Raw genomic sequence first — 15,277 nt, forward strand, 5'->3', positions numbered from 1 at the left:
ATGTACATAGGTCAGATACCAACAACATGACAAGAATTGAAAACTCTCTTTCCTCTCCTTTTATTGCTTGAGAAGCTTCATGGGGGAGGTGGAACTTGAAAGTGAGCCGTTAAGAATAGTTCAGAGTTAAATAAGGAGATGAGCAGGCAGTCTGTAGGAAGAGAACCAAGTACAGAGAGTTGGGAATAGATGTTGTGTTTCACAGTCACTGGACAGATGGAACTATTTAGAAGGAAGTGGGTATTGTGGAGGTTGGTGGAAGGTCAAATGCTGGGGAGACTGGGCTTTTAGTGGGGCTGTGGAAGCTGAGCACAGTAGTTGAGATATGGTCTGTGAGGCAGTGGGAGTTACTGAACGCAGTTGAAAGGGGAAGTGAGATTATAGGCATGGTTGATTTGGAACAGTACCTTAGTTGCAGTATGCAGGGTGGATTGAAAAAGGGGAGCCTGCCATGAAGGAAGCCAACAAAGAAAATGTCAAGTAGAAGGCAGATCTGTTTGAGCCTCTTGGTTTTTAGGCATATTTGGGTGGTGAGAAATGGTTTTCTCTGCTCCTCAGCACTCTTCTTTTATTCATCTTGAAGCTATAAACTTGAGCAAAGAAGGTGACCTTCTCCAGTTGAGAAGGTATAAAACTAACCATACACACCCCTGCTAAAACTGCCACACAAGCTTTTAGGACAAAATCAGTGGACACTTAAATTAATTTGAGTGGAATATGATGAGGAATTATATTAGGGTAGGGAAAGTCATAAATCTTAAATATGATAAAAAGGATGAAAATTGGAAAGGAGCTTTAAGCTGTCATTATTTTCAGATATGATTGTTTATGTAAACTAAAAAATTACTGCAAATGAATAATTAGAATTATTAAGAGTTTAGCAAGCTTGCTCAATTCAAAAGAAAGGTGGGGTGTATTTATTAATATATCAGATACAGTGGACTTCAAGGAAAATTACAGAGATAAAGGAAGACATTACATACTGATAAAAGAGTCAGTTTACCAGAAAGACAAAATAATTCTACGTGTGTATGCATCTGAGAATAGAGGCTCAAAATACATGAAGAAAAAAGTGATAGAACCAAAAGGACAAGTAGACAAATCCACAGTTATAGGTGAGGACTTTGACACTCCTGTCTTAGTTATTGATAGAATTAGTTCACAGAAAATTAGCAAGGACATAGAAGAACTGAACAACACTGTAAACCAACTGGATCTAATTGGCATTTATAGAATACTTCACTCAACAATAAGATATACAGAGGATACATATTCTTTTCTAGTGCTCGTGAAACATTCACCAAGGTTGACTATATCCTCATCCATAAAGTAAATTTTTAACTGATTTTAAAATGTGAAACCATACAGAGTATGTTCTCTGACCATAATGGAGTTCAACTAGAAATCTGTAACAGAAAGATAACTAGGAAACCCCAAATGTCTGGTAATATAGTTAAGTAAATAATCCATAGGTGAAAAGAGGAAATTTCATGGGAAATTAAAAAGTATTTAGAACTGAATGAAAATGAAAACACAACATATCAAAATTTGTGGGGTGCATCTAATGATTGGAGGGAATGTAATAGCATTAAATGCTTAATTAGAAAAGAGGAATGGATACCCCATTTACCCTGTGATTATTATGCATTGCACGCCTGTGTCAATAAACCTCATGTAGCACATAAGTATATATACCTACTATATACCCACAAAAATTAAGAAGTAAAAGAAGAATGGTCTCAAATCAGTAATATAAGGTTCTACCTTAAGAAAATAGAAAAGGAGGAACAAAATAAACCCCAAATCAGGCAGAATGAAAGAAGTAATAAAGAGATGAGTAGAAATCACTGAAATAGAAAACAGAAAAAAATTAGAATAAATGAAAACAAAAGCTGATGTTTTGAAAAGATCGATAAAGTTGATCTGGCCAGACCGACTAAGGAAAAATGTAAGTGAAAACACAAATTACTAATATCAGGAATAAACAACGGGATATCACTGCAGACCTGGAAAGTTGTTTAAAGGATTAAAAAGTATCACACACCATTTTGCACATAAATTGGACAATTTGAGTAAAATATACCAACTCCTTGAAAACCGCAAATTACTGAAATTCACCAAAGAAGAAATAATGTATCTTGAAAAGTGGAGATAATTGGAATACTTTTATTACTATAAATAGAGTTCTTTTTGAAAACAAAACTCTGGGACCAGGTATTTTCACTGACAGTTGTACCAAACATTTGAGGGAATAACACAGTCTCTTTCAGAAAACAGAAGGAGAGAGAACACTTCATATCTATTTTGTGAGGTCTTTATTACACTGATAGTAAAATCAAAGATATTACAGAAAAAGAGAATTATAGACGAACAGTCCTCATGAACACAGATGTAAAAAATCTTCACAAATCAAATGCAGCAATATGTAAAAAATATAAAACATTATGACCAAGTGAGGTTTATTTACCCCAGTAATGTATGGTTGGGCCAACATTCACAAATCACTGTAATTTCTCATTTTAAATGACTCAACTGGTACAGCCAAAGCAAATGACAAAATTCAAAATCCATTCATGATAAGACATTTTACCAAACTAGAATTATTAGGAATTTTAAACTGGTAAGGTGCATCTGGAAAAGAAAAAAAAAAAAAAAAAACAACCCTACAACTCACATCATATTTAATGGTAGAAGAGTGAACGCTTTTCCCCTAAGACTGAAATTGAGGCAGGGATGTTCGCTTTCATTTCTTCTACTTAACCTTGTAGTGGTGATCCTAATCAGTGCAATAAGGCAAGAAAAATAAATAAAAGACATACATATTGAAAAAGAATAAATAAAACTGCCACTATTTGTAGACGATGTGATCACCTATGTATAAAATACTGAGAACTCTATGAAAAATCTCCTAGAACTAATAACAATTTATGAAAGTCTCAAGACACAGAAACGTCTAAACGCCACTTATATTTCTGTATACCTGCAGTGAACAATTTAGAAAACAGTATTTAGAGAAGTAGCAAAATTATGTGCAGGATCCATGTGCCAAAGGCTATAAAACACTGTTGAAAGACATTTTAAAAGACTTTTAAGTGCAGACATAGCATATTCGAGATTGTTGGATTCAATCTGTTTATGATGTCATTTCTCCCCATATTGATCTATAGGTTTCGTGCAATTCCCATCAGAATTTCAGCAGCGTATTTTTGTAGATACAGACAAGCCGACTCTAAAATTTGCATGGATAGGCAAAGGAACTAGAGTAGCCAAGACAATCTAGAAAGAAGAACAGAGTTGGAAGGATCACACTATCCAATTTTAATTACAGTAAAGCTACTATGAACAAGGCAGTGTGGTATTGATAAAGACATGTACATTTAGATCCAACTCAGCAGACTAGAGAGTCCAAAATGAAACCTACACAAATACGATCAATTGATTTTGAACAAAGATGCCAGGGCAATTAATGGAGAATGGATCTCACATAAATTAGATCATATGGCATGTGTTCTTTTGTGCCTGACTTCTTTCTCAATGTATTATTTTTGAGATTCATACGTGTTGCATATATCAGTATTTTTTTTTGGTCTTTTTAAGTATTTTGTTGCTCAAATATGCCATAATTTGTTTATCCATTCACCTATTGGTGGACATTTGAATTATTTCCAGTTTTTGGCTTTTTTGAGAAACATATGCTATCAACATTATGGAACAAATCTCTTTGTGAATTGTGTTTTTGTTTCTTTGGATAAGTACCTGGGAGTAAAATTGATGGATCAATTTTGTAAGAAATCACCAAACAGTTTCCCAAGGTATTTATATCATCTGTACTCCCACCAGTTATGTCCAGTTGCTCCATACCCTTGTCAGTATTTGATACTGTCAAGTTTTTTTTTTTTTTTAATTTTTGCCACTTCAGTAGCTGTGTTGTAGTAGTTTATCATGGCTTTAATTTGTACTTCCTTAACAGGTAATGATGTGAAACACCTTTTCATGAGTTTATTGGACATTCAGGTGTCTCCTTTTGTGAAATCCTGTTCAATCCTTTGCTTATGCCAAAAATGGATTCTTCATCTCTTCTGTTTTGATTTGTAGGAGTTCTTTATCTATTTTGCATGTAAGTCATTTGCTGATTGTGTTATTACCAATGCTGCCCCCTCATTGTTGCTTGCCTTTTCGTTTTCTTGATGTCTTTATGAACAGAGTTTTTAATTTTGACCAAGTTCAAGTTATCATCATTTCTTTTATGGTTAATAGTTTTTGTGTCCTATTGAAGAAATCATTGCCTATGCCATAGAAGGAGATATTCTGCATTTTCATTTGGAGGCTTTATTAGTTTACATTTAGATCCGTAATCCAGTTCAAATAAGTATTTGAGTGTGTTGTAACATAGGAGTTAATTTCATTTTTTTTCCAGTTGAATATCCAATTTATCCAGCAGCATTTATTCCCCATTGTATTGCAGTTGACTCTGTCACAAATCAGTTGATAGTATAGTATATTTAGGTCTGTTTCTGGACTGTATTTGTAGTTTATTCATCTTTAAAATTTTTTCTGAATTGATAAATAATAATTGTACATATTCATGGGGTACGTTGTGATGTTTTGATACATATAATACCCATATTTTAAATGTTTTAAATATTATTTTGTAACTACTCAGGATTTAATAACACAATTTTTAAAACTTCAACTAAAAAAGTGAAAAAGAAAAAAAATTACCAGTTATGATAGGTGGAGAGTATTAAATTCCAGGTTTAAGTAAAATTAAGGTTAAGATGTATTTCTAGGTCATGACCTGGAAAATGGAGTTGATAAGCTGTTGTGGTGTCTGTACTGTGTTCCTGGCACTATCGTGGGAATACAAAAATGAAGAAGATGGATCTTGTCCTTGAGGAACATGTGGGTGAGTGAGAGATAGACCATATAGTAAGTCTGTGTTCCCTCAACACCACATGGATACCTTCACTGAGGCCCTACAGTGTGTTGAATCATGTGATTGAAGGTTTCTCAAGAAGACATGGCTACCAAACAGGCAGATTTAAAAGACAGACCTTGGAAAAGAAGATTGAATGATAGAGATTTTATGTTATCCCAGTGTGATTTTATGTTATTCCAGTGTGATAGTTATAGAAGACCTGAGAATATGTGAGTCTCGGAAGAACAACCTTTGTTTCTTTCACTTGTTCGGGCAGGCAGAGGCTTTGAAGACCATATCTAAAACCCTGAAGAATGGATAGATGTCTCCTGGCTTTTTGGAAGAGAAAGAAGTTATAAAGGTTTTAACTGTAGTTAACTGCCCTAATCTTTATGCTTTTCCAAATATGCCCATTAGATTTTAGTTTGGCATATGGGAAGATATTTGGCACTGATGACAATCTCACTGATTTGGCGAATTTATCATCTATTTGAACAAACAGCTAAGTCAGAAGAGGTGACATTATAGACTAGCAGAAGGCACTGGCCAAATCTGACTGAAATCAAAACAGGACAGTTGTGCAACTCAGCAAGGATTAAAGACAAAAACAAAAACGTGGGCATGGGGATGAGTAAGGGATGTGTTGTCTTCAGGTGTTTCCATTTACCTGGTTATCAATTGATAGAAAACAATGTTATCAGTAAAACTGAAGTTTTGAGATTAGATTATTGTGGTTTTTGTTTATAACCTGGGTCAGAAGGTTATTCACAAAATAAAAAAGTTCTAAATGTGCCTTGGGCCTTGGAATTTGCATGGCTTCATATATGCAGCTCTTTCAGCTGTGATATCCTTAAGGCAAACAAGAGTCATTTTATTATACATTGCACAATGTTAGAAAACCAGTCTTGTTACTGTATGAGTTACAGAAGTTGGACAGACAGCATAGGTGGGGCAGATAGCTTTCCCTGGCCTACCGTGAGCTAGAGAGCCATTGCAGTGCCTGAGCATTAATCTCAAACTTTGATCCTAAAACACCAACTAGAGAAAATAGAAAAGCAAAAAATCAAAACAGAGCATTATGTTTCTTTCTTCCAAAAGGAAGCAGAGCGTTATGTTCCTTTCCTTTTGGATGTTTTCCAAACAATGTGAATCACGGTTTTTAAAATCTTTACTTTCACAATGTTGCTTATTAAAAAAACAACATCTCAGCTTTGTATTATAGATCAACCGACTTCCTATAGGGAAAGGTAAGTAGTCTAGTTATTGCTTTGATTTTGATTGGCATCTCCTAGGATTATTCTGACACTACCATTAGAAGATTTATACACTACTTTACCAACTTACATATAAAGACCTATAGTCCTAGTGTTGGATGGGCTTGGGATTTCATTAGCTCTAGGTGCCAATTCTAGTTGATTGATACTTTGTTGAGGCACTAACTTAAAAGTATTGAGAGTCTGAGCCTGGATTTGGTCAAGGAGGGCTACAATATATAAAGGGTTGGCAAACTTTCCTGTACAGGGCCAGGCAGTAAATATTTTAGGCTTTGTGGGAAACTACTCTGCTATTATAGTGAATAAACAGTCATAGACAATATATAAATGACTGAGCATTGCTGTGTTCTAGTAGATCGAGTTATAATCATGGATATTTGAATTTCATGTAATTTTCATTTGTCACAGAATATTTTTCCAGTCATTTGGAAATGTAAAAATTATTCTTGTGGACCATAAAAATCCAGATGATGGGCAGAATTTGGTGTGTAGGTTATAGTTTGCTGCCCCCTGCAATGGATTGTCACTGGTTGCCCTTGGCTTGGGAGGAAGAGTGATAGCATTCCTGCTCTTTTTCTGGGTTAAAGCTCTGATACCTCAGGGAGTTCAATGCCAAGAGGTCTATGAAGCATAAGTAAGGCCATACTCTATTTAATAAAGCATTACTGTTAATTATTTATGGAAAGAAACCAAGTCTAGAATGCAAGCCATTGGCAAACCAGGATAGAATTGTTTCATCACTTTAGGCCTTGAGTGGAAGTGATGAGAGCTCAACAGAAACAATTATGCAGCCACAGAGCAAGGAAGAACATATGTTCAATAGTGAAATGTTGGTTCTCCTGGCTGCCCTCCTTGCCTGGCTACTCCACTGTCCTCCCCTTCCCAATGCACATGTCTGACTCTGAGGCTGGACTTAGGTAATTCAGTGTGAAGTCTGTAAAAGGGGCAGTTGATCTTAAAGCCTAAAAGAAGTGTTGCACAGCTTGCGTTCTGTTCAAGTATCCAGATGGTGGTGGTCCTAGGCAGAGCTCTCTCCTTGTCTACTGCACTGTGAAGATAGATTTTGCTTTCTTTCTATCTTCTTTCATCTGCAGAGGCCCGTAACTCAGAAATCGGCCTGGGTAAAATGTGCAACTTCGTGTCGACTCTGTAATATAGGGTATATTGTATCTGGCAATCCCTCTTGACAGCAGATGCCATAGCAGCTTGTTTTTTGGGAGGACATGATTGTCCTTATGATAAAATGAATCTTCAGAGTCTCAGTTTCCCTTAATACTTCTAATCAACTTGGTAACCATCAAACTCTCTTGAAATACTTCCCGTGATGTTTCTGCCTGCAGCTGAGTTGGAGGAGGTGACTCTAACGCAGGTTGGTACCACTGTGACTTCTTGACCACTCAACTTAAGTGAGCCCCAATTCTTGCCTCACATCCTTTTGTCAGATCAGCTTGTTCTTCATTCTCCAGAACGATAGTATTTCTTTCCTTTTTTACTTTCCTCAAACTTCTCCAGTCCTTTCTCTTATGGCCAACCTCACTTTCTCCTTCCTAGAGAAAATTGAAGCTCTGTCAGATGGATGGAACGATCTTAACTTTTTGCTAAGAAGTTAAGACTCACTATTTCTATTACCATCTCTCTCCTCTGCCCCACCTGTTCTAATAGAGAAGCTATTCTTTCTCTATCCTTCCATCTGGTTCTCATCTTTTCCCAAACTTTGCTGTGTTATATTATCAAGTATCTCTTCTCTCTCGTATATTCAACTGATCTCTCAAATAGTTTCCTCCATCAACATTTGAACATGTTTGATTTCTTCCATCTCAACAGCAGAAGATCTCTTGATACTTCTCCTTAACTCCATCTAGCTTTCCTCCCTTCTATGTTGCCAGACTTTTGGAAAGACTTGTCTGTATTCACTGTCTCCATTTCTTTGTCTCACATTCATGGTATATATTACCCTATCTGGCTTCTGACCCTGTTGCTCTACCAAACCACTCTGCCCAACCTCAGTAAAGTATCAAAGTCACCGAACTCCATCTTGCTGAATCCAGTGGTACATCCTGTGAGTCTTTCTTATTTGACCTTTTAACAGAATTTGGCATTGTGGATCACTTTTTCTTGAACTGCCTTTGTCTTCCCCTTGGCTTGAATGATACCACATTCTTCTGGGTTTCTTCTTGTTTCTCTGGCCACTCCTTATTGGTCTCCAGTGCAGGAAATAATGGATTTCCTCGTGGATCACTCTACAGTGTCTCCCTGTGCAATTTTCTTCATGCCCTTGGCTTCAGGGACCATTCTGTGTGGATGACTCTCAAACTTAATTCTCCTGAGCCTTCTTTGAGCTGCACATGGTCAATCCACAGGGCCTAAAACACCATGGAAAAGAGTTTGAATTTTGAGCAGAGGAGTGATATGATTTTGCTTACATTTTTGAAAAGATCACTCTTCCTGCTGGGTGCAGAGTAAACAATGGAGAGGCAAAAGTGGAAGCAGGGAAACCTCTTAGGAGGTTAATGTCCAGGAAAGAAGTTCTAGGGGCTGGGTCTAGGGTGTTGTATCCAGCTGGATGTTCAAAATGACCTCACACTCCCCATGTCATGACCTAATTCATGATTTCTGCCAGACTTCCTGTTGTCACCTGCCCCATCTGATTGAGTTGGAAACCTCGACCCTACTTTCTTTTTCTAATTCATCATTTGATACTCTGGCCCTCTTCCACTTTGCTTCTAACACAGTAGCCAGAGTTGTCTTCAATACAAGTCTGATGCCATCCCCAGGATAATAATTATTTTCGGTGTTTCCCATCACTCAGAGGAAAAAGACTAGAAAATCTGAATATGTCCATCTAAGGTTCTACACAGCCTGGCCTTAATGTACCTCGCTAGCCTCCCCTCGTACGTCCTTCCTTTTGCTTCTGCACTTCTCTACCTTCTGCTTGTGTTGTTCTCTGCCACTCTGACCACTTTTATCTACTCATTTCCTAGTCTTCCAGAATTCTGACTGAAGTATCACTTTTGGGGAAGATTTTCCGTAGTGCTTGACTACCCCAGTTTAGGTCAAATTCTCTTATTTTATGTTCTTGTGGAACTGGATTTCTTTCCTTTTGTAGGCTTATCTTAGTTTCTAACTACATGCTCATTTATATGATTATTTGATTACTATCTTTTTTGAGATGGTGTCTCACTCTGTCACCCAGGCTGGAGTTCAGTGGCATGATCACAGCTCTCTATAGCCTTGACCTCCCTAGGCTAAAGTGATCCTCCTACTTCAGCCTCCCGAGTAACTGGGACTACAGGCACATGCTACCATGCCCAGCTAAATTTTGTATTATTTTGTAGAGATGGGGTTTTGTCATGTTGCCCAGGCTGGTCTCGATCTCCTGGACTCAAGCCATCTTCCCACCTTGGCCTCCCAAAGTGCTGGGATTACAGCATGAGCCACTGCTCCCAGCCCTTGATTACTAATTTTTTAAAATGACATGAGGGACTGTATTAGGGTTCTTTAGAGAAACAGAACCAATAAGGAGTGTGTTTGTGTGTGTGTGTGTGTGTGTGTGCATTATAGAGAGAGAGAGATTGATTGATTTTAAGGAGTTGGCTCATGTGGTTGTGGGGATTGTTAAGCTTGAAATCTGCCGGGCGAGTGGCAGGCTGGAGACCCAAGGGAGAGTTGACGTTGCTGTCTCAAATCTGAAGTCTCTTTTTCTGGGGGACCTCAGTCTTTTCTCTTAGGGTTTCCAACTGATTTGATGAGGCCCACCCACATTATTGAGGGTAATCAAGTTACTCAAAGTCTACTGATTTAAATGTTACTTACATCTAAAAAATAATTCACAGTGAGATCTAGACTGGTATTTTACCAGTTACTGGGTACTATAGCTAGCCAAGTTGACACAAAAAAATTAAACATCACAGGGACCATGTCTGTGTTAGCCCATTATTATATCCTCAGTGTCTGCCACAATGTATGACATGTAGAAGGCAGTCAGTAAACATTGATTGTATGGATTTGAGAGCGTTAACTTTCTACTTTCCACCTGTAGCCAATGCCAGTGAGTGTTGTACATTTCATGGCTATAAGGACTGTTCTTTGGAGTAGTCCTTTGTGTTCGTTCTAAAATATTTTGTTGATAAACAGTTTTGTGATTTAAGAGAGATCTCTAATTTTTGACAAGTTTGGGTTTTTTTAAAAAATAATTTTAAACTTTTAAGTCAGGGGTACGTGTACAGGTTTGTTTGTTACATAGGTAAACTTGTGTCCTGGGGTGGTTTGTACAGATTATTTTATCACTTAGCTATTAAGCCCAGTACTCGTTAGGTATTTTTCTTGATCCTCTCCATCCTCCCACCCTTCACTCTCTGATTGGCCCCAGTGTGTGTTGATCCCCTCTATGTGTCCATGTGTTCTCACCAGACAAATTTGTTTTCTTGTAATTCATTTATAGACCCTCTTAGCCTGTTTCTTTGCAGACTCTTTTATTCTCATCCCATAAAAAAGCCTTGTCAGCCATTTGACTTAACCATTGGATTGGCTCTTTTCTTACATTCCTCTTGTGTATTTTTCCTGTATTTTCTTGGATGCAGTAGCCAGAGCCAACTTTGTTTTCAGTGTAATTGGACCATGACTTTATTTAAGGAGATAATTGCATTTTTATTTCCTAATGCTCTTCAATTTTATTGGCCATTTTGGCGACAGCAGCACATTGTGTTGAATATTCTATTTCTAAAACCAAACTTCTCATCCTGGCCCTGTGTCCAGAGTTGTCTATTTCTGTCACTGGTGCCAGACACCAAGACAAGAATGCTTGGATTTATCCTTAACTTTTCCCACCCTCACCATTCCTAGTCTGTTACAAGATTCTCTTGATTCTTCTTATGATTCTTCAACATTGATCCTTTTTATTTGTCCATTTCTTACAACAAGCCTTTATGGGCTCATGCCAGATAACTGATTTCTTCTTGGTGTCTTTACGACTGTTCCCTCCCAGCTTCAAGTTTTTGTAGCCAGCAACCTCAGATGAATCTTCCTAAGCATCAGCTTGAGTGTGCTTTCTTCTCCCTACCTCCCAATACCCAATCACCACCTTAAGCTTCTCCCTACCTCCCAATACCTAATCACCACCAAAGCTTAAGTTTGATTAAGATTCAAACTTGATTTCCTTTTCCTACTGGACCTTCAGTACAGAGGATTAAGTTAATTTTACTTCTCAGGCCATGACATACTATCATTTTTGGTCTCTGTAACCCTGTTCTCTTATTTATTTAATTCCTTTATTCTCTTTTAGTGACAATTTGAATATATTGTTTTTTGTCTGTGTTCTTATAAAATATGTATTGTTGTTTTGGTTATTTTAATTTATATGACTTGTACTCTAGATCTCATTTTATTTTGTTTTATATATTTCACTGCTTTTCACATCCTTCTGTGATGCCATGTAAACATGCAGTCTAATGCGTCTAATTGCTGTTTCTCTTTTTATTCACATCATTATAAGGATGATAAGAAAATAAAGTTATAAGTCAATTTTTTATGAATGTCAAATAAAAAAATCCAAAATAAAATATTAGCTAAACAAACCCAACTTTATATTTTTAAAATATATCACAATTAAGTAGTATTTATTTCCAGTAATGCCCACATAATAATATAATGATGGAATAGTAATATATTCAATATAACAATAACCTTTCAATTTTATTTACTTCATGTATATCTATGTATGTTTATTAGAATTTAATACTTTACTCCCTAGAGGTCTAATGTACTGGTTAGGTTAATTTTTCTATATTTCATGGTTTATATTGCCATTATGAATGATATACAGTTATGCTATATTTTATAGTTGGGTTTGACTGCTGGAGAGTCATGAGATTGATTTTTAAAAAAATTAGTAACAACCTTGATGAAGTCTCTTACTGCCAAGATGGGTGGATCTCTTGAGGTCAGGAGTTCAAGACCAGCCTGGCCAACATGGTGAAACCCCATCTCTACTAAAAATACGAAAATCAGCCAGGTGTGGTGGTGCACGCCTGTAGTCCCAGCTACTCAGGAGGCTGAGGCAGGAGAATCACTTGAACCTGGGAGGTGGAGGTTGCAGAGCTGAGATCGTGCCACTGCTCTCCAGCCTGGGTGACTGGCCATCTCAAAAAAAAAAAAAAAAAAAAAAGTCTAATAGTTACTTATCTATTAACATTTTAAAATATTACATTGAATCATATGGCAATGCTGATATTTGACCGTATTTTTGCCTATAATGTCTGTAATTTTAAATATTTCAACCTAATAGATGATTATATTGTCTACAAATAATGGTAGTTTTTTTCTCTTTCTTTATACCTTATATTTTTTGTTTCCCTAGATTTTTCAGAACTTCTAGACTGTGTTAAGTAGCACTGATAATGAATATCCTACAGTTTTCCTGTTAACCACATTTCTTCTAGGTTTTGGGTTCATGTAGAGATACTTTATCAAGCCTAAGAAAATCCTTCTTATCCCAGTTTGCAATGAGGTATTTTCATTTTTTTCCTAATCACAATAGAAGTTGAATTATAGCAAATGCTCTTTCTGCATCCATTGAGATAATCATGTAGGTTTTCTTTTTTATATATACATGAAGTAAATGAAATTGATAGGCTGTTACATTGAATCATCTGGGCATTACTGGGATATGTACTACTTAATTATGATATATTTTAAAAATATAAAGTTGGGTTTGTTTAGCTAATATTTTCTTTTGGATTTTTTTTTCTTTCTTTTTTTTTTTTTTTTTTTTTTAAAGACAGAGTCTCTCTCTGTCACTCAGGCTGCAGTGCAGTGGCGCCATCTTGGCTCACTGCAAGCTCCACCTCCCGGGTTCATGCCATTCTCCTGCCTCAGCCTGCTGAGTAGCTGGGACTACAGGCGTCCGCCACCATGCCCGGCTAATTTTTTGTATTTTTAGTGGAGACGGGGTTTCACTGTGTTAGCCAGGATGGTCTCGATCTCCTGACCTCGTGATCCGCCCACCTCGGCCTCCCAAAGTGCTGGGATTACAGGGATTACAGGCATGAGCCACTGAGCCTGGCCTTTATTTTGGATTTTTATATCACATTCATAAAAATTGACCTATAACTTTATTTTTTTACAATCCTTATATGGCTTAGGAATCAAGATTGCAAAGTTTAGTTGCATTAAACAAGTCACGCAACTTTCATTTCTATCTTCTGGAACAATTTGTATAAGGTAGGGATTAACTCCTATTGAAAGGTAGAACTCACCTTAAAACTATTGTGTCTTGGGGGGTCCAAACTACCTGTTCTTCCTAACCTTAACTGTGTTCCTATATCACCCTCTTACCTAATTGAGCTGGTCCGTCATTCCTATTTCTATTTCAGCATGTTTCTGCTTGCTGTTCTACTTGATGTAACAACTTTCCTTTCCTCTGTTTGTCTAAACCTTACCATTTAAGGCCAGGGTGCAGCCCAAATCACTCTTGAAACCCTTTCTGATGCCCTGGGCCTTCAGCAGCCCTCCTATTTTTGGCTTCTTATAGTATATATTGTCTCTTTCACTCTTTTGACCCTTGGCATGAGCAACACTGCATAAATATTTATCCCCATATTAGTATATATCTGGGACCTCTCTGCACCTCCTCATTTAAACCTGGATTTTAAGTCTCAATTGTACATAGAACCCAGCCTCTCTTGGAAGTTCTATTTGTTAGTGGTGATCATTTGATTATATCACACTCAGCTTTGATCAACCTGACCTGTTCGTATTGACATAATCACACCAACATATTCCACCTTAAGGCTTTTTCACTACTCTTTTCTTCTTTTGCATCATACCTGCATGCATGATTCCTAGTTTTATTGAGTCTCTGCTCAAATGTCATTTTCTTCATGTGGCCTTCCTTGACCACTCTATTTAAAATCGTAGTCCTACTGCCCCACATTCATGATCCAACCCCCATCCTCTGCTTTATTTTAATTATATTTTGTTGTTTATTTTCTTTCTCTGCCTATTGTAATACAAGGTCATCAGGGTCAGAGATTTTAATCTGCATTGTTTACTGATGTATCTTGGTACCTACAAGAGTGCCTGGGACCTATTTAATACTCAGTAAATATTAGAATAAATGAATGAAACCAAATATGTTAGCCTTCAGTTAAGAACTTGTCCTGCAATTTAGTCCTCCTACCACTAAGCAACAGCAAAGGAGAACTGGTTATTTAAGTCCTGGGGTTTTGGGATTGCAAGGGGATTGAAGCCTTTTTAGTAAATATTTATTCAAATGCTTCCCCATCTTTGCCAAAAAGAACTATGAGTCTTTTTCCTATGATTGCTAAATTATCTTAAGCCAAAGAACTCATTTTTTTCTTTTAAGATGCTCCGTTGAGAAAATTATCTTTTTGGGTACTTTTGGATAATTTTTGGATAATTGCTCTTTGGGGCTAGTTGTAAGAGAGGTCTTTTTTTTTCTTCCTGGTTCTTTGACTACTCTTGGGGTCTGCCTCCAGTCCTGTCCCTCTTACAGTAAGATGTGGCTGGGAGGAGAGTATTGATTCCTCAGATTGTTACATCTTCACTTCTCAGATTGTTTTAAATTCAGTGTCTCATGGCTCAAACTTCTTATCATAGGAGATATTTCCTAAGTCGCTCTTATGCTCTCCTTTACCTGGTAATATGAGGAATCAGGAAGATGTGGTGGGATTAGTTTCTAGGTCCAGTCTAGTCACCATTTGCCTTGCGACCTTAGGCAAGTCATTTTATCCTGGAGAGTTAAGACCTCCCCCACTGTAAAATGAGGGAATCAGATTAGGTGCCCTGTAAGGTCTTTTTTTCCAGCAGCTAAACAAAAACCGAAGAAATATGTTATTATTTTTTTTCCTTTTGATAGGGAGCTATTCCTGACAGCTCTCATCTGGTGTTTTGCTTAATTTACACACAATGATTAATTTACACACAAGCTTAGCTTGTATCCCTTAGCAACACTTAGCAACTGCCTGCTTTCAGAAAGTAGTTCAGTTAAGGTTGTTTAAAGGGACATTATCCCATATATCAAAGCAGAAGTGAAAATAAAGTTGACTTTGTCTGGGGACACGTCCCC

At 37.0% G+C, this 15,277-nt stretch overlaps 1 protein-coding gene across 9 annotated transcripts in view, besides 1 other annotated feature; it reads left to right on the forward strand.

Moving 5' to 3' along the window:
* ARHGAP44 (Rho GTPase activating protein 44) overlaps window positions 1-15,277 on the forward strand; it is a 202,146-nt gene that overhangs the window by 26,198 nt on the left and 160,671 nt on the right. The window lies entirely within an intron of this gene.
* Window positions 114-203: an enhancer, noted in NCBI's record as "active region_11737". NCBI's record gives its function as "activates an Ori minimal core promoter by ATAC-STARR-seq in GM12878 lymphoblastoid cells {active_cell/tissue: GM12878}" and the evidence as "EXISTENCE:reporter gene assay evidence [ECO:0000049][PMID:35858748]".

Source organism: Homo sapiens, chromosome 17 (assembly GCF_000001405.40).
Source record: "Homo sapiens chromosome 17, GRCh38.p14 Primary Assembly".
NCBI lineage: Eukaryota > Metazoa > Chordata > Mammalia > Primates > Hominidae > Homo > Homo sapiens.